General features: G+C 36.1%; 1 long non-coding RNA gene across 1 annotated transcript in view; it reads left to right on the top strand.

Annotated features, from left to right (window-relative positions):
- The window catches only part of CXXC4-AS1 (CXXC4 antisense RNA 1), a 206,628-nt gene that overhangs the window by 175,945 nt on the left and 6,836 nt on the right, over positions 1–23,847 (top strand). Inside the window, exons 7-9 of the long non-coding RNA NR_125926.1 lie at positions 5,730–5,839; positions 9,144–9,277; positions 17,592–17,690. This is a non-coding gene — a long non-coding RNA (CXXC4 antisense RNA 1). The remainder of the gene's footprint in view (positions 1–5,729; positions 5,840–9,143; positions 9,278–17,591; positions 17,691–23,847) is intronic.

A 23,847-nucleotide genomic window follows, 5' to 3' on the forward strand; every position in this document is an offset into this window, starting at 1 on the left:
CTCCAGCGTTCATCTTCTTAAAGACTCTGTCATATTGCCTCCCATCACTTGCTGGCCTGTGATGCAGTGATGATCTCAGTTCTGTGTATTAGTCTGTCCTCACGCTGCTGATAAAGACATACCCAAGACAAAAGAAAGAGGTTTAATGGACTTATAGTTCCACGTGGCTGGGAAGGCCTCACAATCATGGCAGAAGGTGAAAGGCACATCTCACATGGTGGCAGACAAGAGAAGAGAGCTTGTGCAGGGAAACTCCCCTTTTTAAAAACCATCAGATCTTGTAATACTTACTCACTACCATGAGAACAACACAGGAAAGACCTGCCCTATGATTCAGTTACCTCCCACCAGGTCCCTCCCACAACACGTGGGAATTCAAGATGAGATCTGGGTGGGGACACAGCCAAACCATATCATTCCACCCCTGGCCCCTCCCAAATCTCATGACCTCACATTTCAAAAACCAATCATGCCTTCCCAACAGTCCCCAAAGTCTTAACTCATGTCTGCATTAACTCAAAAGTCCACAGTCCAAAGTATCATCTGAGACAAGGCAAGTCCCTTCCACCTATGAGCCTGTAAAATTAAAAGCAAGTTAGTTACTTCCTAGATACAATGGGAGTATAGGCATTGAGTAAATACAGCCATTCCAAATAGGAGAAATTGGCCAAAACAAAGAGGCTACAGGCCCCATGAAAGTCTGAAATCTGGCAGGACAGTTAAATCTTTCAAAGTTCCAAAATGATCTCCTTTGACTCCATGTCTCACATCCAGTTTACACTGATGCAAGAGATGAGTTCCCATGGTCTTGGGCAGCTCCACACCTGTGGTTTGTTAGGGTACAGCCTCCCTCTTGGCTGCTTTCATGGGCTGGCATTGAGTGTCTGCAGCTTTTCCAGGCACACAATGCAACTGTCAGTGGATATACCATTCTGGGGTCTGGAGGACGATGGCCCTCTTCTCACAGCTCTACTAGGCAGTACTTCAGTAGGGACTGTGTGTAGGGGCTCCAACCCCACATTTCCCTTTCACACTGTCCTAGCAGAGGTTCTCCCTGAGAGCCCTGCCCCGTAGCAAACTTCTGCCTGGACATCCAGGCATTTCCGTACATCCTCTGAAATCTAGGTGGAGGTTCCCAAACTCCAATTCTTGACTTCCATGCACTGGCAGGCTCAACACCACATAGAAGCTGCAAAGGCTTGAGGCATGGACCCTCTGAAGCCACAGCCTGAGCTCTGTGTTGGCTCCTTTCAGGCATGGCTGGAGTGCCTGGGACACAGGGCACCAAGTCCTTAGGCTGCACACAGCACAGGCACCATGGGCCCAGCCCATGAAACCACTTTTTGCCTCCTAGGCCTCTAGGCCTGTGATGGAAGGGGTTACCTTGAAGACCTCTGACATGCCCTGGAGACATTTTCCCCACTGTCTTTGGGATTAACATTCAGTTCCTCATTACTTATGCAAATTTCTGCAGCCAGCTTCTCCTCAGAAAATGGGATTTTCTTTTATATTGCATTGTCAGGCTGCAAATTTTCCAAACATTTATGCTCTGCTTCCCTTATAAAACTGAAGCCTTTAACAGCACCCAAGTTACCTCTTAAATGCTTTGCTGCTTAGAAATTTCTTCTGCCAAATACCCTAAATCATCTCTCTCAAGTTGAAAGGTCCACACATCTCTAGGGCAGGGGCAAAATGCCACCAGTCTCTTTGCTAAAACATAATAAGAGTCATCTTTGCTCCAGTTCCCAACAAGTCCCTCATTTCCATCTGAGACCACCTCAGCCTTGATTTCATTGTCCATATCATTATCAGCATTTTGGTCAAAGCCAGTAAACAAGTTTCTAAGGAGTTCCACACTTTCCCACATTTTCCTATCTTCTTCTGAGCCCTCCAAACTGTTCCAAACTCTGCCTGTTACCCAGATCCAAAGTTGCCTCCCCCTTTTGGGGCATCTTTTCAGCAGCACCCCACTCTACTGGTATCAACTTACCATATTAGTCTGTTTTCATGCTGCTGATAAAGACATACCCAAGACTGGGCAATTTACACACACACACACACACACACACACACACACACACACACACACACACACAGAGGTTTATTGGAGTTCCACATGGCTGGGGAGTCCTCACAATCATGGTGGAAGGTGAAAGGCACATCTCACATGGTGGCAGACAAGAGAACAGAGCTTGTGCAGGAGAAATTCCCCTTTTTAAAAACCATCCGATCTTATAAGACTTATTCACTGTCACGAGAACAGCTCAGGAAAGACCTGCCCCCATGATTCAGTTACCTCCCACCAGGTCCCTCCCACAAGACGTGGAAATTCAAGATGAGATTTGGGTGGGGACACAGCCAAACCATATCACTCTGAGATCATTGTTTTTTTCCTCTGTTACTAGTCCTGTGATCAACCTTGGTGACTTCAATAGATGGGAAGAAAATGCAACACTTAGGCCTCATGGTTCCTTGATGCCATTCCCCATTCATGCACTCTCCTGGATGTCCTCTTCATCTTGTCATTGCCAATAACTGTTCCATCTCCCAAATCCCACTCTCAAATATCTCAAATAACACCTTTCATCTTCCCACTTATAGACTCCAGCACCTCCACTCCCATGATTGTTCTGCATGCTTCGTTTCTTCCTCACTCACTTGCATTCCATGCCTGATTACAATCATGTCCTTGCACACTCCTTCTCTTTCCTTGCCCTTTTCTTTCTCAATCCTTCTTTCTTGACAGGATTCTAATCCAGGTTGAATTTAGCTCTTCACCTACCTCATAATTCTGTGCAGCTGAACATGAAGTAAAGATGAAGTCATGATAATTTTAAATTTATAAAAGCAAACTTCAGCACCACCTAGTAACTACCTTTTACTAAATCAGTTCTCTTTCCTAGACTATAAGATAACTAAATTTTACTTACTCTTCTTTCTCTACAAACCTGAAACATCACATACTTAATCTTGTATAAGTGATAATTTTGCCTCATATGTCTGAGCAAATAGAAATCACAGAGACCATCCTCATCCTTCCACCCTCAAACTTCCAACCTACCTGCATTCATGCACTTGTACTATGTATCTCTTCCCTTCAAAAGGGATGGTATTCCAAGCCCATTTCCAAAATCATTTTTTTATTTCACAATATAATTAACTTTACTATGTAGAAATCAAGCAATATATTATAAAATGTAAACAAAAGAAAACCAAATGAACCTATATCCAATGTTTTGAGGTTTTTTTTCTAGCTTCAGTATTGTTTTTCTCTCAGGATGTATCCCTGTAGTTTTATTTTGCTTTTCCCCAAAGTAATTGTGCACCTATCAACACAATTGTGGAAATAAGTAATAGATGTAGCATCATCACTTTCTTATTGTGTTCTCATGATGAATTCAGCATTTCTCAGCATATTGAGAGTTTAAATTATTAATCTTATACATAATCCAAAAACACATTCATAACATACAGCATATAATATAGAGAGAACAAACTATACTCTGGTGTCCAGTGTTTGTGACAACACAAACCAGTAGAGAAAAGCTTGAACTGTTTTGCATGTCACCAACACAAAAAGATGAAAAAACATTTAAATGTAAGAGCAACTTAAGCAAACTTTTATCTGCTTACCTTCTAGATAGCTTGATATAAACAATATAAAATAATTTATTTCAATTTCCTGTCCAATTCTTTTTTTCTGTTTATTTTTGGTTTTTATTTTTTATTTCAACAGGTTTTTGTGTATGGGTGGTGTTTGGTTACATGAATAAGTTCTTTAGTGGTGATTTAGTGCACACCATACTCAGTGTGCAGTCTTTTATCCCTCACACCCCTCTCACCCTTCCCCCCAAGCCTCCAAAGTCCATTGTATCATTCTTATGCCTTTGCATCCTCATAGCTTAGCTCCCACTTATGAGAACATATGATGTTTGGTATTTTATTCCAAAAACCAAACATCACATGTTCTCACTCAAAAGTGAAGAGTTAGTTCACTTAGAATAATAGTCCGCAGTTCCACCCAGGTTGCCACAAATGCCATTGTTTTGTTCCTTTTTATGGCTAAGCAGTATTCCATGGTAAATATGTACACATTTTCTTTATCCACTCATTAATGGATGGGCATGTGGGTTGGTTCCTTATTTTTGCAATTGCGAATTGTGCTGCTGTAAACATATGTGTGCAAGTGTCTTTTTCATATAATGACTTATTTTCCTCTGGGTAGATACCTAGGAGTGGGATTGTGAGATCAAATGGTAGACCTACTATTAGTTCTTTAAGAATCACCATTCTGTTTTCCACAGTAGTTGTACTAGTTTACATTCTCACCAGCAGTGTAATCGTGTTCCCTTTCCACCCCATCCACACCAACGTCTATTTTTTTTTATTTTTTTATTATCACCATTCTTGCAGGAATGAGGTGGTATCACATTGTGGTTTTGATTTGTATTTCCCCGATAATTAGTGACATTGAGCATTTTTTCATATGTTTGTTGGTCATTTGCATGTCTTCTTTTGAGAATTGTTTATTCATGTCCTTAGCCCACTTTTTGATGGGATTTTATTTTTCCTGCTGATTTGTTTGACCTCCTTGTAGATTCTGGACATTAGTCCTTTGTCAGATGCATAGTTTGCTAAGATTTTCTCCCAGTCTGTGGGTTGGTTATCTGTTTACTCTGCTGATTATTTCTTTTGCTGTGCAGCAGCCTTTTAGTTTAATTAAGTCCTATCTATTTATCTTTGTGGTTGCATTTGCTTTTGGGTACTTGGTAAAGAAGTATTTGCCTAAGCCAATGTCTAGAAGGGTTTTTCTGATGTTATCTTCTAGAATTTTTATGCTTTCAGATCTTGGATTTAACTCTTTGATCTATCTTGAGTTGATTTTTACATAAGGTGGAAGATGAGGATCCAGTTTTATTCTTCTTCATGTGACTTGCCAATTATCCCAGCACCATTTGTTGAATAGGGTATTCTTTCCTCACTTTATGTTTTTGTTTGCTTTCTCAAAGATCAGTTGGCTATAAGTGTTTGGGTTTATTTCTGGGTTCTCTGTTCTGTTCCATTGGTCTTTGTGCCTATTTTTATACCAGTACCATGTTGTTTCGGTGACTATGGCCTTATAGTACAGTTTGAAATCAGGTAACATGATGCCTCCAGATTTCTTCTTTTTGCTTAGTCTTGTTTTGGCTATGTAGGCTCCTTTTTGGTTCCACATGAATTTTAGGATAGTTTTCTCTAGTTCTGTGAAGAATGATGATGGTATTTTGATGGGAATTGCATTGATTTTGTAGATTGCTTTTGGCAACATGGTCATTTTCACAATATTGATTCCACCCATCCACTATGTGTTTTCATTATTTGTGTCATCTATGATTTCTTTCAACAGTGTTTTGTAGTTTTTCTTGCAGAGGCCTATCACCTCCTTGGTAGGGTATATTCCTAAGTATTTTATTTTTATTTTTTACAGCTATTGTAAAAGGGGTTGAGTTCTTGATTTGATTCTCAGCGTGGTCACTATTGGTGTATAGCATTGCTACTGATTTGTGTACATGAATTTTGTATCCTGAAACTTCACTGAATTCATTTATCAGTTACAGGAGCTTTTTGGATGAGTCTTTAGGGTTTTCTAGGTATACAATCATATCATCAGCAAACAGTGACAGTTTGGCTTCCTCGTTATTGATTTGGATCCCCTTTCTTTCTTTCTTTTGTCTGATTGCTCTACCTAGGATTTCCAGTATTATGTTGAATAGAAGCGGTGAAAGTGGACATCCTTTCCAGTGTTCCAGTTCTCAGAGGGAATGCTTTCAACTTTTCCCCATCTAGTATGATCTTGACGGTGGGTTTTTCATAGATGGCTTTTATTACCTTAAAGTATGTACCTTCTGTGCCAATTTTGCTGAGGGTTTGAATCATAAAGGGATGTGGATTTTGTCAAATGCTTTTTCTATGTCTATTGAGATGATCATGTCATTTTTGTTTTTAATTCTGTTTATGTGATGTATCACATTTATTGACTTGCATATGTTAAAACATCCCTGGATCCCTGGTGTGAAATCCACTTGATCATGATGGACTATCTTTTTGATATGCTGTGGGATTCATTTAGCTAGTATTTTGTTGAGGATTTTTGCATCTATATTCATATTCATCAGGGATATTGGCCTGTGGTTTTATTTTTGTTACGTGCTTCCCTGGTTTTGGTATTAGAGTGATACTAAATTCATAGAATGATTTAAGGAGTATTCCCTCTTTCTCTGTCTTTTCGAATAGTGTCAGTAGGATTGGTACCAATTCTTCTTTAAACATCTGATAGAATTCAGCTGTGAATCCATCTGATCCTAGATATTTTTTTTGGCAGTTTTTTAATTACCATTTCCATCTGACTGCTTTTTATTGGTTTGTTCAGAGTTTCTATTTCTTCCTGGTTTAATCTAGGAGGATTGTATATTTCCAGGAATTTATCCATCTCCTCTAGATTTTCTAGTTTGTGTGCATAAAGTTGTTCATAGTAGCCTTGAATGGTCTTTTGTATTTCTGCAGTATTGGTTGTAATATCTCTCACTTCATTTCTAATTGAGCTTATTTGGATCCTCTCTCTTCTTTTCTTGGTTAATCTCACTAATGGTCTATCAATTTTTTTAATCTTTTCAAAGAAGCAGCTTTTCGTTTCATTTATCTTTTGTATTGTTTTTGTTTCCATTTCATTTAGTTCTGGTCAGATCTTCGTTGTTTCTTTTCTTTGCCGGGTTTGAGATTGGTTTGTTCTTGTTTCTCTAGTTCCTTGAGTTGTGATGTTAGATTGTCTTTTTGTGCTCTTTCAGACTTCGTGATGTAGGCATTCAACGCTATGAACTTACCTCTTACACCACTTTTGCTGTATCCCAGAGGTTTTGATAAGTTGTATCGCTATTATTGTTCAGTTCAAAGAATTTTCTAATTTCCATCTGGATTTCATTGTTGACCACTGATCACTCAGGAGCAGGTTATTTGCTTTCCATGTATTTGCATAGTTTTGTGGGTTCCTTTTAAAGTTGATTTTCACTGTGGTCTGAGAGAATATTTGATATAATTTTGGTTTTCTAAAATGTATTGGGACTTGTTTTGTGGCCTATTATATGGTCTATCTTGGAGAATGTTCCATGTGCTAATGAAAAGAATGTATATTCTGCAGCTTTTGGGTAGAATGTTCTGTAAATATCTGTTAAGTCCATTTGCTGTAGGGTATAGTGTAAGTCCATTGTTTCTTTGTTGACTTTCTGTCTTGATGACCTATCTAGTCCTGTCAGTGGAATAGTCCCCAGTGTCTATTTTTCCTATCTTTGTATCAATAGGTACCCCATGTTTATTTTCCACTTATAAGTGAGAACATGTTGTATTTGATGTTCTGTTCTTGCATTAATTTGATTAGGATAATGGCCTCCAACTGCATCCACACATGTTGTATTTGATGTTCTGTTCCTGCATTAATTTGGTTAGGATAATGGCCTCCAACTGCATCCACATTGCTGCAAAGAACATGGTTTCATTCTTTTTTGTGGCTGTCTAGTATTCCATGGTGTATACATGCCACATTTTCTTTATCCAATCCACAATTGATAGGCACCTTGGTTGATTCCATGTCTTTGCTATTGTGAATAGTGCTGCAATGAACATACAAATACATGTGTTTTAATGGTAGAATGATTTATTTTCCTTTGGATATATACCCAGTAATGGGATTGCTGGGTCAAATGGTAGTTCTATTTTAAGTTCTTGAGAAATCTTCAAATTTCTTTCCACAGTGCCTGAACTAATTTATTTTTCCATCAACAGTATATATGCATTCCCTTTTCTTTGTAGCTTTACCAACATCTGTCATTTTTTGGCCTTTCAATAATGGTAATTCTGACTGGTGTGAGATGAGTCAAAATCATCATGATTTCGATTTGCAATTCTCTGTTAATTAGTGATGCTGAGCATTTTTTAAAATGTTTATTGACTGCTTGTATGTCTTCTTTTGAGAACTGTCTGTTCATGTTCTTTGCCTACCTTTTAAAGGGGGTATTAGTTTTTGTTTGTTGCATTAAGTTTCTTATAGATGGTAGTTATTAGACCTTTGTTGGATTCATAGTTTGTGAATATTTTCTCCTATTCTGTAGGTTGTCTGTTCACTCTGTTGATGATAGTTTCTTTTGCTGTGTAGAAACACTTTAGTTTAATTAAGTCCCATATGTCAATTTTTCTTTTTGTTGCAATTGCTCTTTTTAAAATAATTTCAACTTTTATTTTAGGTTGAGGGAGTACATATGCTGGTTTGTTACATGGAACTACCCATGTCTTGACATCATCACTCACACAGGGATTACTTTAATCACTTCCTAGCAAGCCTCTTTATCCTCCAATTCATGCTATAGTTACTGCCAATATACATTTCCCTAAACATTGCTTATGTTAGTCTCTGCTCAAAAACAATCTAGATCTCCCTGCTTAAAACTCTATGCAATGTAAATGTCTTTGCTTAATTTTTAAGACATCTCAGAATACCTATCCGTGTTTCCCACAAACTCTTTTGCCTAATACAGTCAGTATCCTCATGGCTATATAAAAATCTGTTGCTTCTGAACATTTTCAAGTATTTTTCCCTCACCTAAGCAGCAGTTTTCAACTCTGCTGCCTTTTAAGTTTCAGCCTATCCTTCAAGGCTAAGACCTACTCTCTCCATATTAACTTCCCAGTCTGCGTTTTTTTTCATCTCCCCTCTATGCTCCTGCAGCACTCATGGCATATTCCACATAGATCAACACCTGTGCACAAAAGTATTCAAAAGCTCATTCATTTTATCTTGGTTTTTCCAGTATTACCTCCTAGGAGGCAGGAACTGCATTTTACACAGACTCCAAAGCACTTGCACAGTAATGAACATACAATAGGAATTTATTAGCTAGACACTCAGAAGGTTTATGAACCCTCTTTTTGCCTATTTATATTTTCTAAAAGATATTGATCTTTTATTTATTTCAGTAAAATATTACATGCATGTATAGTATGAAATAGGTTTATAGCCTCTATTTAAGAGATCTTTCTGGGACGCTCAAAACAATCTAATAAGCACTTAGAATGATACTTTTATTTCTTCTCACTTTCTCTTCTTTTCTATACAGAGAACCTTGGCAATATCCTGAATTTAGTACTAAAAGCAAAGGATAAGGAAGGTGTTATGTGGCCTCTGTATAACAGAGAATGTTCTATACTGAAAACTTATGATATACTTTCTACCTTAGACAAAGCCAGACAGGTAAGATTTTCTTTATCATAGTGTCTAGCACAAGCTGGGGAATATAACTGCTCAATAAATTATTGTTAAGTGATTGAATTTTTGATAATTCACTCAATAGAACCTTCCATTTCTGAAATATGCACATAATATCTTCAGGAATTAGATCTGAGTAGCATTTCCCAAGGCAATCCCTCATTCTAACTTTGAGAAGGAATGTGATTAATTTGAAGCTGCTATTCTAATTTTTCATTTTTAGATTTTTACTATTATCTTGTTTTAGATTTTTACTACTATCTGGAGAAACAGCAGGCCAAGAGCCTTGCTTCCATACCACCAGCAATTTCTTTTGGGTAGCAAAACAATTTAGAGCTATAGAAACAGTATTAGAAACCATGTATTCCAACCCATTCACTCTTCAGATGAGGAAAACATCTCTCAGGTTAGATGGGGAAGCCAAGACAGAAATCAAGCTCTTTTAAACAAGTAACTACCTTACCTACATTTAAATAAATAAGGATGGCAAAATACCATGCAATCTTGGGGCTGAATAGAACTTACAGATGGTTCATTATTCTTTGTTTTAGCACTTCCAGTAATTGGCAAACAGCTCTTTCTACAATGGAATGCCTCTAAAAATTAGAAATATTCTCAAAAGAGTATTTCTCAGTGAATTATGTTGAATCAAAATTCATCTTCTCAGAACTTAGTAGCAACAGCCCTAGTTTTGAATTCTCAAACAGTAACAACAATCCACTCCCTCTTCCATGGGACTGAACTAAACAATTTATACAACCCTTAAGATTTTCTCTTCCCAAGTTCCTCTAAACTTCCTTTTTTATGGCATGGCTTCCCTCTGTTTTGACAATAATCTTATTAGAATTTGTTCTTGAATCTTAGAATGCTTTCAATTAAAGGCGACAGAAAAATCAAACTCAAGTTGGCTTAAAGAATAACTAAAAACTCCAGGGTAATTTAGGCACAGTTCCATCAGAGCGCTGGGTCCATTTTCCAGTGGTTTGCTCTGCTCCACTTTTATCGGTGTTAACTTTCTCCCCAGACTGACTTCCCTCCTAGCTGTTGGATGCCTGCCAGCAGTAATTAGTGCTGCATGATGCCTCATTCAGCAAGAAAGGCAGGTTGCTACCCATTAACTGCTGAAAAAAAAGAAAACACTGAGATTTACATCAATTGGCCACCCCTGAACCAATCCGTAAAACCAGGGGAATGCCACACACTGATAAGCTTAGGCCTGGATTAATTAAACCAATTACAGTGCAAAGGAAGATGGAATTTTCCTGATTGGCCTTAGCTGAGCATAGCTTACTCTTGAAGCTAGGGTGAGGTCAAGTTCACTCAAACCTTATTGCTGGTATTAACAGAGAAGGTGTAATGGATGTTGAGGAAAAAACCATAGCTTCCGTCCACCATGCGTGTATACCTGTATGTAACACTCAGGATAGGTCTGACAAATGTCCGAGTTCAGTGAAATATTAGAAATCAGTCTTGTGGCCATTTCCCTCATTTTGAAAATGTTCTTCTATTAACATAGTCTTACCTTGAATTCACTTTCTTTTTTTAAGCCGGTGTAATTGTTAGAGTTTGTGGTTACTGAAGTACCTAAAGCGGTTTTTTAATTTCATTTTATACTCCTTTCGAGTTGAACTTTTAAAACCTCCCCGCCAAATGTATTCTTATGGAACTGATGGCAAAAACCAAAACAGTACATTAATTCGGCTCCACAATCTCCATGTTCTGTTTTTTATGCATTGTTCTATCTACTAAAACACTTCAAATTATGTTTCTAAAAGTCAGTACATTAGCTGACCCTTTGCAGACTGATGCCTCTTCACCCAGATTGGGTTTTTAAATGTGACCAAGACAAAGCCAGAGACAAAGCCATGAGACGTGCTGTGAGAAACCTTCCTGCAAGCTAACATCAAATTAATAACTACATGCAGTTGTTCAACCAGCTTTACATATCTGCTTACGTCCACTGTCATTCAGTCATATTTCTACCCTTGTTCCCAAGGACATACGAGTGATTTCGTCAAAATCCCTACCTAAACACAAATATTGCAACCTCCCAACCCCCTAAAATCTCCCCTGCTACTCAACCTACAGAAAATTAAATGAGGCTAATTTGGCAGGAATGCTTTTAGTGCACTCAGACTGGATCTTAGAGGTTGTCTCATTATTTTCTAAGTGATTTCAATTCCTTGTTAAAGTAATCCATTCTAAAATGCTGTTAAAGATCAACATTGCTGATCTAGTAGTTTCCAGAATCTACCTTTTAACCCTTTGAGAGAATTGGGGTGATATTTGCTTAGATCGCATCTTCTAGCAGCACTCCCCTTCTCTGTGATTTCTGTGGATTACTGCCAATCATTCTATGATTACATCTGTAAGTCCTTTCGACACCTTGGAATGTAATTTGTCTATGACTGCAAACTTGAATTCATTTAGAATGTCTGGGTGGCTTCCTATAGTCTCTTCTTTTTACTTTTTCTGGGACTTCAATTCATTGTTAATGGTGTTTTTCTAGCTGTTCTATTTTGATGATAACTTCTTCATAGTGGCAAGGACAGATTCAAAATAGGAACAGAGTAATTCTGCCTCCTGCCTGTATTTGTTAGCCTCTCATCATCTATTCTAAACAGTGGGCTGATGCACTATATTCTCATAATTATGATTCCTAGCTTTTGCAGAAGTACTTTTCTCTGCTGGGAACACTCTTACTGTTCTCAAACTTTCTATAATCTAACTTTTATTCATCCATCAAGTCTTAGCAATAATCTCTCTTAGGAGCCTTCATTGATCCTTCAAAGCTAAATTAGATCCCCCTCCTATATCTTATGATACCTTATGATAGCCCTTTGGTGGAATTTAGTAGACTGTATTGTAAATGCCTGTTAGCATGGCTGCATTTCCCATTTGACTATAAGTGGTTAGAGGATAAGGATCTTTCCTTGTTCTCTTCTGCAGAGATTTTCATAGTTCTTGGCACCAAATAGGTGCTTAGTATTAATAATTGTTCAATGAATTAAACCTGTAAAGGTCCTTTTGGTTAACTTTGAGCATTTTTTAATTTCTTATATTTTCTTCCAAGATTTATTTTACTGCCACATCAAGTTTCCTTGGTGGTTGAAAGTAAATCTAGAATAATAATTTCTTCACAAGTTTTTTTCAGTGAAAAGCTTCCTTGTTTAACCTCTGAGGTATTAATTTTTTGGGAAGCTTAAAATAATGTTTCTTATGAAAAAAGGAAAAAATCTTCTAATATACATATATCCTGGATCAGAAAATATGCTCATCATAAATGTTTGAGGTGCATGGAGTATACTTCACAAATGGAAGCGTGAAAATAAAAGTGAGATGACTATTTTTGTAGAGACAAAATGTAACAAATTTCATTAGAATTTTTTTAAACACAGGATTTTTAAAAAACACATTTCAGTCATTAAGACAACTTTAATATTTTGAAAGCTTGAAAAATATATTTTTTCTCAAATGCACTCAGTAAATTTTACAATCTTTCGTTTTTCTGTTTATCAATGGTATTTCCTACTGATACACTTTTCTTACAACAATAAATCTCCTTAACTTATTCAACTTTATAAACACCTGTTCAGTAGTTTATAAAATTTTAAAGCTAATGGTATAACAAACTCAAATGATGATATTTTATATTTATAAGTGCATCCTGAGATGAATAAGTAATGAAAACACAGTCTGCTGCTACTAAAAGTGAGGGGCTTAAGAAGTTTAGCTACAAAGAGATGGAACGCACTTGATTTCATCTGGTTTTAAAATTTAAGTAGATTTGATCCAGGTTGGTTCTTAAGGAGGTCAACAGAAAATACCCTATTATTTTTTCTTCTGTTCAGCACTGGATATGCAGTAATTTTCCTGATCTACTGCCACAGATTGAATGCATTGTTGCATTTTTTTTCAAATTATCTTGTGTTATATGACATGCTTGCTGACAGACTAGGCTGACCACAGTTTTCAATTAAACTTATCAGTCAAAGGTCATTTACAAGCAACTGCGATTGACTGAGACACAGAAGTATTATTTTCATTGATTAGGGTTTAAAGAGAAAAATTGTTGCCAATTGGTACAGTCGAAAGATATAGTACAAATAATCTGTAGCTACATTTTAGCCAAGTGCAATGACAGATTCCAAGAGAGAGGACTTAAAAATGTCATCTTTAGTTTTTTAAAGAAAAATATTATTAATATAGTTATAATTCATTTGTATGCAGCCACCAAAAGAAAAAATATCTGCAATATAATACAATATAATGGTAACAACAATGTAACACTAACACATATTTTATACTGCATGTTAATTGTAATAGTCAATATGAACTGTCATGTTTATAATAAAATATAATATTTACATAATAAATATGAGTCATCATATTATCTACTTTCAGTAGAATTAAGAAGATTGGCTTCTAGTGCTGAGACAACCATTAATTATCTGTACAATCTAGGGCAAATCATTTAAACTCTCTAGGTCTCAATGATTTCTATACATAAGTATTAACCCCTCAAAAAATTATAATCTACAAAGTTTATAGTAGAGGGGCCTTGAGTTACTTTTAATATTTCATAAGGCTCTTGGGAACTTTGCACTTAACCACAATAAAAACTCATAAGCCCCATATGGTTTCTGATACATAAAAACTAGTTAATAATTAATAAATAATGAAATGAATAGGAGAATAAATGAAAAAGTAAATGAATGAATGAATGAATGAATAAAAATTAGAACACTAGGTTGATCTTTACTTTATATCAACTCCGTTGTCTACTGGTTATTTCTTGCTGATCTGATTTCCAATTATATATGCTTGTGATTATTTAAACATGAATTAGGCCAGGTGCAGTGGCTCATGCCTGTAATCCCAGCACTTTGTGAGGCCGAGGTGGGCAGATCATGAGGTCAAGAGTTTGAGACCACCCTGACCAACATGGTGAAATCCTATCTCTACTAAAAATACAAAAATTAGCTGGGCATGGTGGTGCACCCTGTAATCCCAGCTACTCAGGAGGCTGAGGCAGGAGAATCACTTGAACCTGGGAGGCGGAGGTTGCAGTGAGCTGAGATCATACCATGGCACTCCAGCCTGGGAGATAAAGTGAGACTCCATCTCAAAAAAAAAAAAAAAAGTGAATTAACAGTTACTTTTTCCATGCAATTTGAGGAGTAAAATTTTTTTAATACCCAGAGCAAGTCATGGGTATTAATAAAAATGATGCTTGGTAGCAATAATATTAGAAAATGATAGAAAAATGGAAATACTTCTACCTATACAAGTACCATAAATCCTTTTCAGTGACTCTATTGCAGCTATGAGGAATTCTCAAGCTTTTTCACAGGGATTGTTGTCTATTACTTTCATCATTTTATGTAATATGATCCTACCTGTGACAATCCCTTAGCCTAAAATCTCAACTAACATATTGAAATCAATAAAAATTTTCTTACTTATATACTGGTTCTCACTAATTTCACCTAAGCTCAATTTTATTTCATTTAAAACTATATTTGCCTACACAACTCATCCATTCACAATGATTGATTCCAAGGGTGAGATATATTTTATTCCCTCTAGAACAAGAGGTCCTGATCAGAGGGTAAAAGGTAGAAAGGTTTTTTCCCCCTTATCCTTAGAGAAAATTGTTAGTCCTTCTCCTTATGTAAGGAAGAAAGTAAAATACCTTTTTTTCATTTTTTGAAGTAATGTATGACAACTTAGTGCTATTTCCTCTAACTTTTCCCTGAATATGTTCCTGATTCCATAACAACCGTACTCATTCTTTATTTTTCTTATAGCTGAGTTGATAATAGGCTCCAATATTGTTGTTATTATTGGTATTCACTGGCATTCTCTGTTATATAGCCTTGACTAAAAAGCCATGAAAACAATTTATTGTGGTAAATTATACAACTACTTGTTCACAAAGCGAGAGTATTAACTGACATTTGTCTTTCCTCTCCTGTTAAGTCTGTTCATTGCTGTTGATGATCAATTCATTATTGTTTAATACATATAATTTTTATCAAATTTAAATGGACTAGGCTGAATTATGCTGCTCTCTGGATAATAGAATTTTAAGTCAGCAGCATGTTTAATATGCATGGAAAACCCCCCATAACCTCTCCAATAAATAAATAAACAAATAAATGTATGGCATATCAGCAAACATGGCCTTTACTTGACATTGGAAGAAACACACGTGTCATGTGTTAAATATATTTAAATGTGTGTTAATACATTTAATGTTTGTGTTAATACACACATTTAAATAAATATAAATATATAAAATTAAATATAAAAATATATTTTATATTAAAACAAAATATAACAATTTTATATTAAAAATAAATATAAAAATATAAAAATATATTTTAAATATAAAAATAAATATAAAAATATATTTTAACTTAAATATATTTTAACTTAAATATATTTTTATATTTAAGTAAAAATAAATTTCTTAAATCTAATAACTATATCCTTGCTCTTTCAAGACAGAAGGAACTTTTCAAGGTCAAATTAAAATTCTTATTTAGAAAGTTAAGAAAGCACTGAAATTATTTGGACCTTAGACTATGTAGTTAATCTTATCAAATCTTAGTTTCCATTTTTTTCTGCCCCACAGGACAGAAGGCACAGAAGACAAAGCCTATGGCTCACCAAAGTGATAAAGCCAGTAGGGCATACCTACATAATGCTGGGACCCTAAATGGCTCTATCCTGTGTATGGGGTGTACCAGAAATAAATCCACCCCACAGCACAAGAGAAGGAAATTCTTTCCTATGATTTTTGTGCTGAATTCAGACAAAATATCTCACCTGAACATTCATAGCCAAAGAACACTCCTCATGCTGATTTGTACACTGAATCCACATTGACTTAGTGGCCTAACAAACCTAAATCCAACAATCTATTTAAAGTGGCCCCAAATAGTAGTTTCTTCAGGGATCTCAGATAAACCTAGGCAAATTATGTTTGAGGGAATACACATTCCATCCAGGCTTCAAAGGATTTCTACAGATAAAGTCCCAAGAAACATGAATTTACAGTCAAAATTTAAAAAATAATACCCACAATAAATCACTTGATAGAGTCCAACAGAAACAACAGATGACAGAAAGACTTTAAAAAATAAAAACTAGAAAGAATGAGGAAGGGACAATATTAGAGATGGTATCTTAGGTCAGTTTTCCCAGAAGCAGACCCTGAGGCAAGGATTCATGAACAAATGATTTAGAAAGGCAATAGTCTCTATAGAGATCAGCAAGGTAGCATGGAAAGCAGAAAAGGGGAGAGAAGAAAGCCATGCCAGGGTGCAGTCTCAGATAAAGCCCTGCAAATATAGCTTTGGCCTGATCTTGCAGGAGAACGCTGGAGTAAGTTAACCTCAGAGTTGCCCAAGGCAAAGAAGCTAACTTGCTATACTCCTACTTCTGTGAGCCACTGGTCAAGGGCTGTGTGGAAGGAGTAAATTCTCAGGGACTTCTAGATTTCTGTATATGTGGATAAAAGACCTCCACAGAAAAAGTAACATTCTCAAAGAAGAGGCATGGTTGCAATTTGCCTGATAATAGTCAAAATTGCTTTCATACTTGTTTATTTTTTCTTGGTTCCCTTTAATTTTGGCCTGGTCTCATAAACTCTTCTATGTGCATAAAAATAATGTTAAAATTTTACCCTTCTTATAGTTGTCCTCAGTGAGACACTTGTTATGGTAAACTAATCCAACATTGTTTGTAATTGAAAGTTTTACCTTTATTCTCAACTTTTATCATCTTTTCTTTGAAGTTTTCTCTTGTATTTTATCTTTTGTTGGATAATGTTTCTTCTAATCCATTCTGAAGGTCTCTGTCTTTTGTCAGTGAGTTTAATACATTTACATTTATTGCGATTGTTACTAGGACTCATTTCTTTCTTAATATTTGATTTTTATTGTATATTTTCTGTGTATTAGTTTAATTTGCCTTTCACACTTTCCATTCAATTTCATACAAGAAGTTCCTTCTTCTTGTATGAAAGTTAATATTGTGTTTTATTTATTGTTTGGTTACCAGTAAAACAATGATGAATATCTACATTACTTTTTTTCTTCTACCCATTTCTTAGTTTATCCATATCCATATCACCTCTCTCTTTCTTGTCTCTTATTTTCTTCTCCCCTGCCACCACGTTTGCATTTTTAACTCTGAGCTTTATGGATCTTTTATAGATTTTAGGTTTGTTTTAGCAACAGGAAAATTTACTATGCTGTTTTCTTACCTGTACATTTCATGTATTTCATAGATTTTTCTAGTTTCAACTTACCATTATACTTCCTGAAAGTATTTTCAAAAGAGTCATTTGCTTGATGAAATTTCTGAGTTCTTGTTTGCCTGAGAATATGTAAGTATGTTTCCTTTGCATGTAAATTATTGTTAGTTGCATATAATATTTCAGATTTAAAGTCCTTTTATTATTACTCTTGAAAAATGTTATTCTCCTCTATTATGAATATAACATTAACAATAATTGCATTAGTGTTTCATTTCTTGTTTTTTTTGTAAATACTCTGTTCTTTATTAGAAAACTTTAGTAATCTCTTTTTTGTGTTTGATGTTTTAAAATTCACTTTAATATGTTTGTATTGTCTTTTTAAATCATCTAAAAGGTTTGGCACTATGAAACTTTGCAATATTTTTCTTTTTTAATTCTTACAAATGTTAGGCCACTATTTCTCCAAATACTTCCTCTCTTTCATTTTTTAAAAATATAGTTTCCTGGAAAACCTTCAATGTGGAGGTTAACAATTATATATCCATCCTTCCTCTCTCCAAAATTTTGTTTTTTCTTCTCTTTTTCTTTATCTCTTTCTTGTGATGTTTTAAAATTTTCCTCTAATTTCAAATTCATTAGTTTGTTACCCAATTGTATTTATTCTATTTTAATTTATCTACTGAGTTCTATTTTTTTCAAAATGTATTATTCTGCTCATCTTTTCCATTATTCTCCCTCATCTCTTTGAGAATATTTAATTCTTACTTATATTTATTTTAAGATTTTATTTATATTTATTTTGAATTTCTGTTCCACAATTCTCTTTTATCTGGTATAAGGTGAAGGAATCCACCTCCAGTCTGAGATTTTCTAATTTTGCAATCTGGGCAGAATCACTCTCTTTGCTCACCGCCCCACAGTAAGCAATTACGTACTTTGAGGACTCTTCTTTTCTCCTCACTAGTCCTGATAGGGAGGATAGAGAAGAGAAAATCATCAGGATCCACCCAAAATATCTGGGAACCTGTTGTTATTCACCCTCCAACCCAGCTAGGTTGGATTGCCTTTCTGCTGTTTCCTCACCATTTGTCACTGATGCTGGGTTGGTGCTGCTGTTTTTTCTCCTTACTGTAGGAAATAATTCTCGCAGGGCAATGTGAAGAAAGGCAGAAATTACAACTTAAAAGTTCTTCTTTAAGTTCCTGCTGTTTTTGCAGCCAGTTCTTTTCGTATCTAAATTGTTCTTCCCTCCATATATATTAGCTTATGTCTTTCTAAGAGTAATCAGTATTTTATTTTCTGTTTCTCAGAATCAACCAGACTAGCATTTGTGTCACATATACAGAATTATATTAAGGGGAAGAAGACAGCCATACTCATTAATTTGTCAAAAACTGAGAGAGGTTTTTCAAGTGATCTTATTTTACCCTTATAACTAAGATCAACATTATTGCTATATCTCCTTCAACACTGTTTTTGGCTGTTACAAACTAATTCATTTCCACAGAATTCTATGTACCTAGCTCAGTGCCATGGGCAAAAGTGTTTGCAAGAATTCCTACCTTCTGTTTTGCTGGGGAGGCCAATTTTCAAAAATCTATTACTAAATTTGCACACATGTAATACTCTGTGGAATAATACACTTGTCCAAGTTGTAAATAAAAAAATCCTAAATGTAATGATAAAATTCTTCAATATGACTTATATAGGCAGTAAGTAGATAAGAAATAATTAAGGGGCCCAACTAATGCATTCTATGAATAAATAGGGGTAGACAAGTAAGACACAGCATCATGAGACTTTCAGTGCCTTTATTTCATACAAATGCTGTGAAGTGGTTCATAGTCTGACAACGTCTTCTTTGAGGGTGAAGGACGCTTTGAACTGCTTTCTAGTTCTCCAGAGTCTATTTATAAATTACACTTAAATAGGTTTAAAATTACTTATCTCTCTGGTAGGTTTTTAATTCCAGATGAAGTATTCCAACAGAAAAAAATCATGTCAGATTTATTTTTACATGTTTACAAACAGCCATTTTTAAATCCACTCTGAAACTTTTACCTTGATCACCCCAATATGACAGCACAGTTGTATCTATTGACATTGACCAGTATTAAATTGAAGAACTCCTGTAAATTACCTCTCCATTCAGATCTATATGTATAAAATGCAGTTTTTCTCCTCTTACATGCAACACTATTTTTTTAACTTCTCAATATTTTGAAACCATCTATTTGTCCATGAAAAAAAAAATTCTTCAAGGATTAATTGAACAAACAATTTGGTGAAGACTTCTGTGAAATTATCACAAGAGATAGATCATAATAGGTGGTTGTAACAAGAAAAAAACTCCTAAGAAAAGGTTTTCAGAGGACTCTAAGGGTCAAAAATCTCCCATGGGCTTTGCAAACAGCAGCCCCAGTTGCAAATCCGGGACCTGGCTTTAGGTACATGAAGCTCAGCTCAGGTTGTCGCTGGCACAAAGGGTCAGCTCTAAATGAAATTCTAAGTAAGTGAATTCCATCTCAGTGTACACAGTGGTATCTTTTTTTTTTCCCTCCCCCCTCCCCCCTCCCCACCACAGTCCCCAGAGTGTGATATTCCCCTTCCTGTATCCATGTGATCTCATTGTTCAATTCCCACCTATGAGTGAGAATATGCGGTGTTTGGTTTTTTGTTCTTGCGATAGTTTACTGAGAATGATGGTTTCCAATTTCATCCATGTCCCTACAAAGGACATGAAATCATCATTTTTTATGGCTGCATAGTATTCCATGGTGTATATGTGCCACATTTTCTTAATCCAGTCTATCATTGTTGGACATTTGGGTTGGTTCCAAGTCTTTGCTATTGTGAATAATGCCGCAATAAACATACGTGTGCATGTGTCTTTATAGCAGTATGATTTATAGTCATTTGGGTATATACCCAGTAATGGGATGGCTGGGTCAAATGGTATTTCTAGTTCTAGATCCCTGAGGAATCGCCACACTGACTTCCACAATGGTTGAACTAGTTTACAGTCCCACCAACAGTGTAAAAGTGTTCCTATTTCTCCACATCCTCTCCAGCACCTGTTGTTTCCTGACTTTTTAATGATTGCCATTCTAACTGGTGTGAGATGATATCTCATAGTGGTTTTGATGTCCATTTCTCTGATGGCCAGTGATGATGAGCATTTTTTCATGTGTTTTTTGGCTGCATGAATGTCTTCTTTTGAGAAGTGTCTGTTCATGTCCTTCGCCCACTTTTTGATGGGGTTGTTTGTTTTTTTCTTGTAAATTTGTTTGAGTTCATTGTAGATTCCGGATATTAGCCCTTTGTCAGATGAGTAGGTTGCGAAAATTTTCTCCCATGTTGTAGGTTGCCTGTTCACTCTGATGGTAGTTTCTTTTGCTGTGCAGAAGCTCTTTAGTTTAATTAGATCCCATTTGTCAATTTTGGCTTTTGTTGCCATTGCTTTTGGTGCTTTGGACATGAAGTCCTTGCCAACGCCTATGTCCTGAATGGTAATGCCTAGGTTTTCTTCTAGAGTTTTTATGGTTTTAGGTCTAATGTTTAAATCTTTAATCCATCTTGAATTGATTTTTGTATAAGGTGTAAGGAAGGGATCCAGTTTCAGCTTTCTACATACGGCTAGCCAGTTTTCCCAGCACCATTTATGAAATAGGGAATCCTTTCCCCATTGCTTGTTTTTCTCAGGTTTGTCAAAGATCAGATAGTTGTAGGTATGCGGCGTTATTTCTGAGGGCTCTGTTCGTTCCATTGATCTATATCTCTGTTTTGGTACCAGTACTATGCTGTTTTGGTTACTGTAGCCTTGTAGTATAGTTTGAAGTCAGGTAGTGTGATGCCTCCAGCTTTGTTCTTTTGGCTTAGGATTGACTTGGCGATGCGGGCTCTTTTTTGGTTCCATATGAAATTTAAAGTAGTTTTTTCCAATTCTGTGAAGAAAGTCATTGGTAGCTTGATGGGGATGGCATTGAATCTGCAAATTACCTTGGGCAGTATGGCCATTTTCACGATATTGATTCTTCCTACCCATGAGCATGGAATGTTCTTCCATTTGTTTGTATCCTCTTTGATTTCCTTGAGCAGTGGTTTGTAGTTCTCCTTGAAGAGGTCCTTCACATCCCTTGTAAGTTGGATTCCTAGGTATTTTATTCTTTTTGAAGCAATTGTGAATGGGAGTTCACTCATGATTTGGCTCTCTGTTTGTCTGTTGTTGGTGTATAGGAATGCTTGTGATTTTTGTACATTGATTTTGTATCCTGAGACTTTGCTGAAGTTGCTTATCAGCTTAAGGAGATTTTGGGCTGAGACAATGGGGTTTTCTAGATAAACAATCATGTCGTCTGCAAACAGGGACAATTTGACTTCCTCTTTTCCTAATTGAATACCCTTTATTTCCTTCTCCTGCCTGATTGCCCTGGCCAGATCTTCCAACCCTATGTTGAATAGGAGCGGTGAGAGAGGGCATCCCTGTCTTGTGCCAGTTTTCAAAGGGAATGCTTCCAGTTTTTGCCCATTCAGTATGATATTGGCTGTGGGTTTGTCATAGATAGCTCTTATTATTTTGAGATACGTCCCATCAGTACCTAATTTACTGAGAGTTTTTAGCATGAAGGGTTGTTGAATTTTGTCAAAGGCTTTTTCTGCATCTATTAAGATAATCATGTGGTTTTTGTCTTTGGCTCTGTTTATATGTTGGATTACATTTATTGATTTGCGTATATTGAACCAGCCTTGCATCCCAGGGATGAAGCCCACTTGATCATGGTGGATAAGCTTTTTGATGTGCTGCTGGATTCGGTTTGCCAGTATTTTATTGAGGATTTTTGCATCAGTGTTCATCAAGGATATTGGTCTAAAATTCTCTTTTTTGGTTGTGTCTCTGCCCGGCTTTGGTATCAGAATGATGCTGGCCTCATAAAATGAGTTAGGGAGGATTCCCTCTTTTTCTACTTATTGGAATAGTTTCAGAAGGAATGGTACCAGTTCCTCCTTGTACCTCTGGTAGAATTCGGCTGTGAATCCATCTGGTCCTGGACTCTTTTTGGTTGGTAAGCTATTGATTATTGCCACAATTTCAGCTCCTGTTATTGGTCTATTCAGAGATTCAACTTCTTCCTGGTTTAGTCTTGGGAGAGTGTATGTGTCGAGGAATGTATCCATTTCTTCTAGATTTTCTAGTTTATTTGCGTAGAGGTGTTTGTAGTATTCTCTGATGGTAGTTTGTATTTCTGTGGGATCGGTGGTGATATCCCCTTTATCATTTTTTATTGTGTCTATTTGATTCTTCTCTCTTTTTTTCTTTATTAGTCTTGCTAGCGGTCTATCAATTTTGTTGATCCTTTCAAAAAACCAGTTCCTGGATTCATTGATTTTTTGAAGGGTTTTTTGTGTCTCTATTTCCTTCAGTTCTGCCCTGATTTTAGTTATTTCTTGCCTTCTGCTAGCTTTTGAATGTGTTTGCTCTTGCTTTTCTAGTTCTTTTAATTGTGATGTTAGGGTGTCAATTTTGGATCTTTCCTGCTTTCTCTTGTGGGCATTTAGTGCTATAAATTTCCCTCTAGACACTGCTTTGAATGCGTCCCAGAGATTCTGGTATGTTGTGTCTTTGTTCTCGTAAGTTTCAAAGAACATCTTTATTTGTGCCTTCATTTCGTTATGTACCCAGTAGTCATTCAGGAGCAGGTTGTTCAGTTTCCATGTAGTTGAGCGGCTTTGAGTGAGATTCTTAATCCTGAGTTCTAGTTTGATTGCACTGTGGTCTGAGAGATAGTTTGTTATAATTTCTGTTCTTTTACATTTGCTGAGGAGAGCTTTACTTCCAAGTATGTGGTCAATTTTGGAATAGGTGTGGTGTGGTGCTGAAAAAAATGTATATTCTGTTGATTTGGGGTGGAGAGTTCTGTAGATGTCTATTAGGTCCGTTTGGTGCAGAGCTGAGTTCAATTCCTGGGTATCCTTGTTGACTTTCTGTCTCGTTGATCTGTCTAATGTTGACAGTGGGGTGTTAAAGTCTCCCATTATTAATGTGTGGGAGTCTAAGTCTCTTTGTAGGTCACTCAGGACTTGCTTTATGAATCTGGGTGCTCCTGTATTGGGTGCATATATATTTAGGATAGTTAGCTCCTCTTGTTGAATTGATCCCTTTACCATTATGTAATGGCCTTCTTTGTCTCTTTTGATCTTTGTTGGTTTAAAGTCTGTTTTATCAGAGACTAGGATTGCAACCCCTGCCTTTTGTTGTTTTCCATTGGCTTGGTAGATCTTCCTCCAT

Source organism: Homo sapiens, chromosome 4, assembly GCF_000001405.40.
Source record: "Homo sapiens chromosome 4, GRCh38.p14 Primary Assembly".
Lineage (NCBI taxonomy): Eukaryota > Metazoa > Chordata > Mammalia > Primates > Hominidae > Homo > Homo sapiens.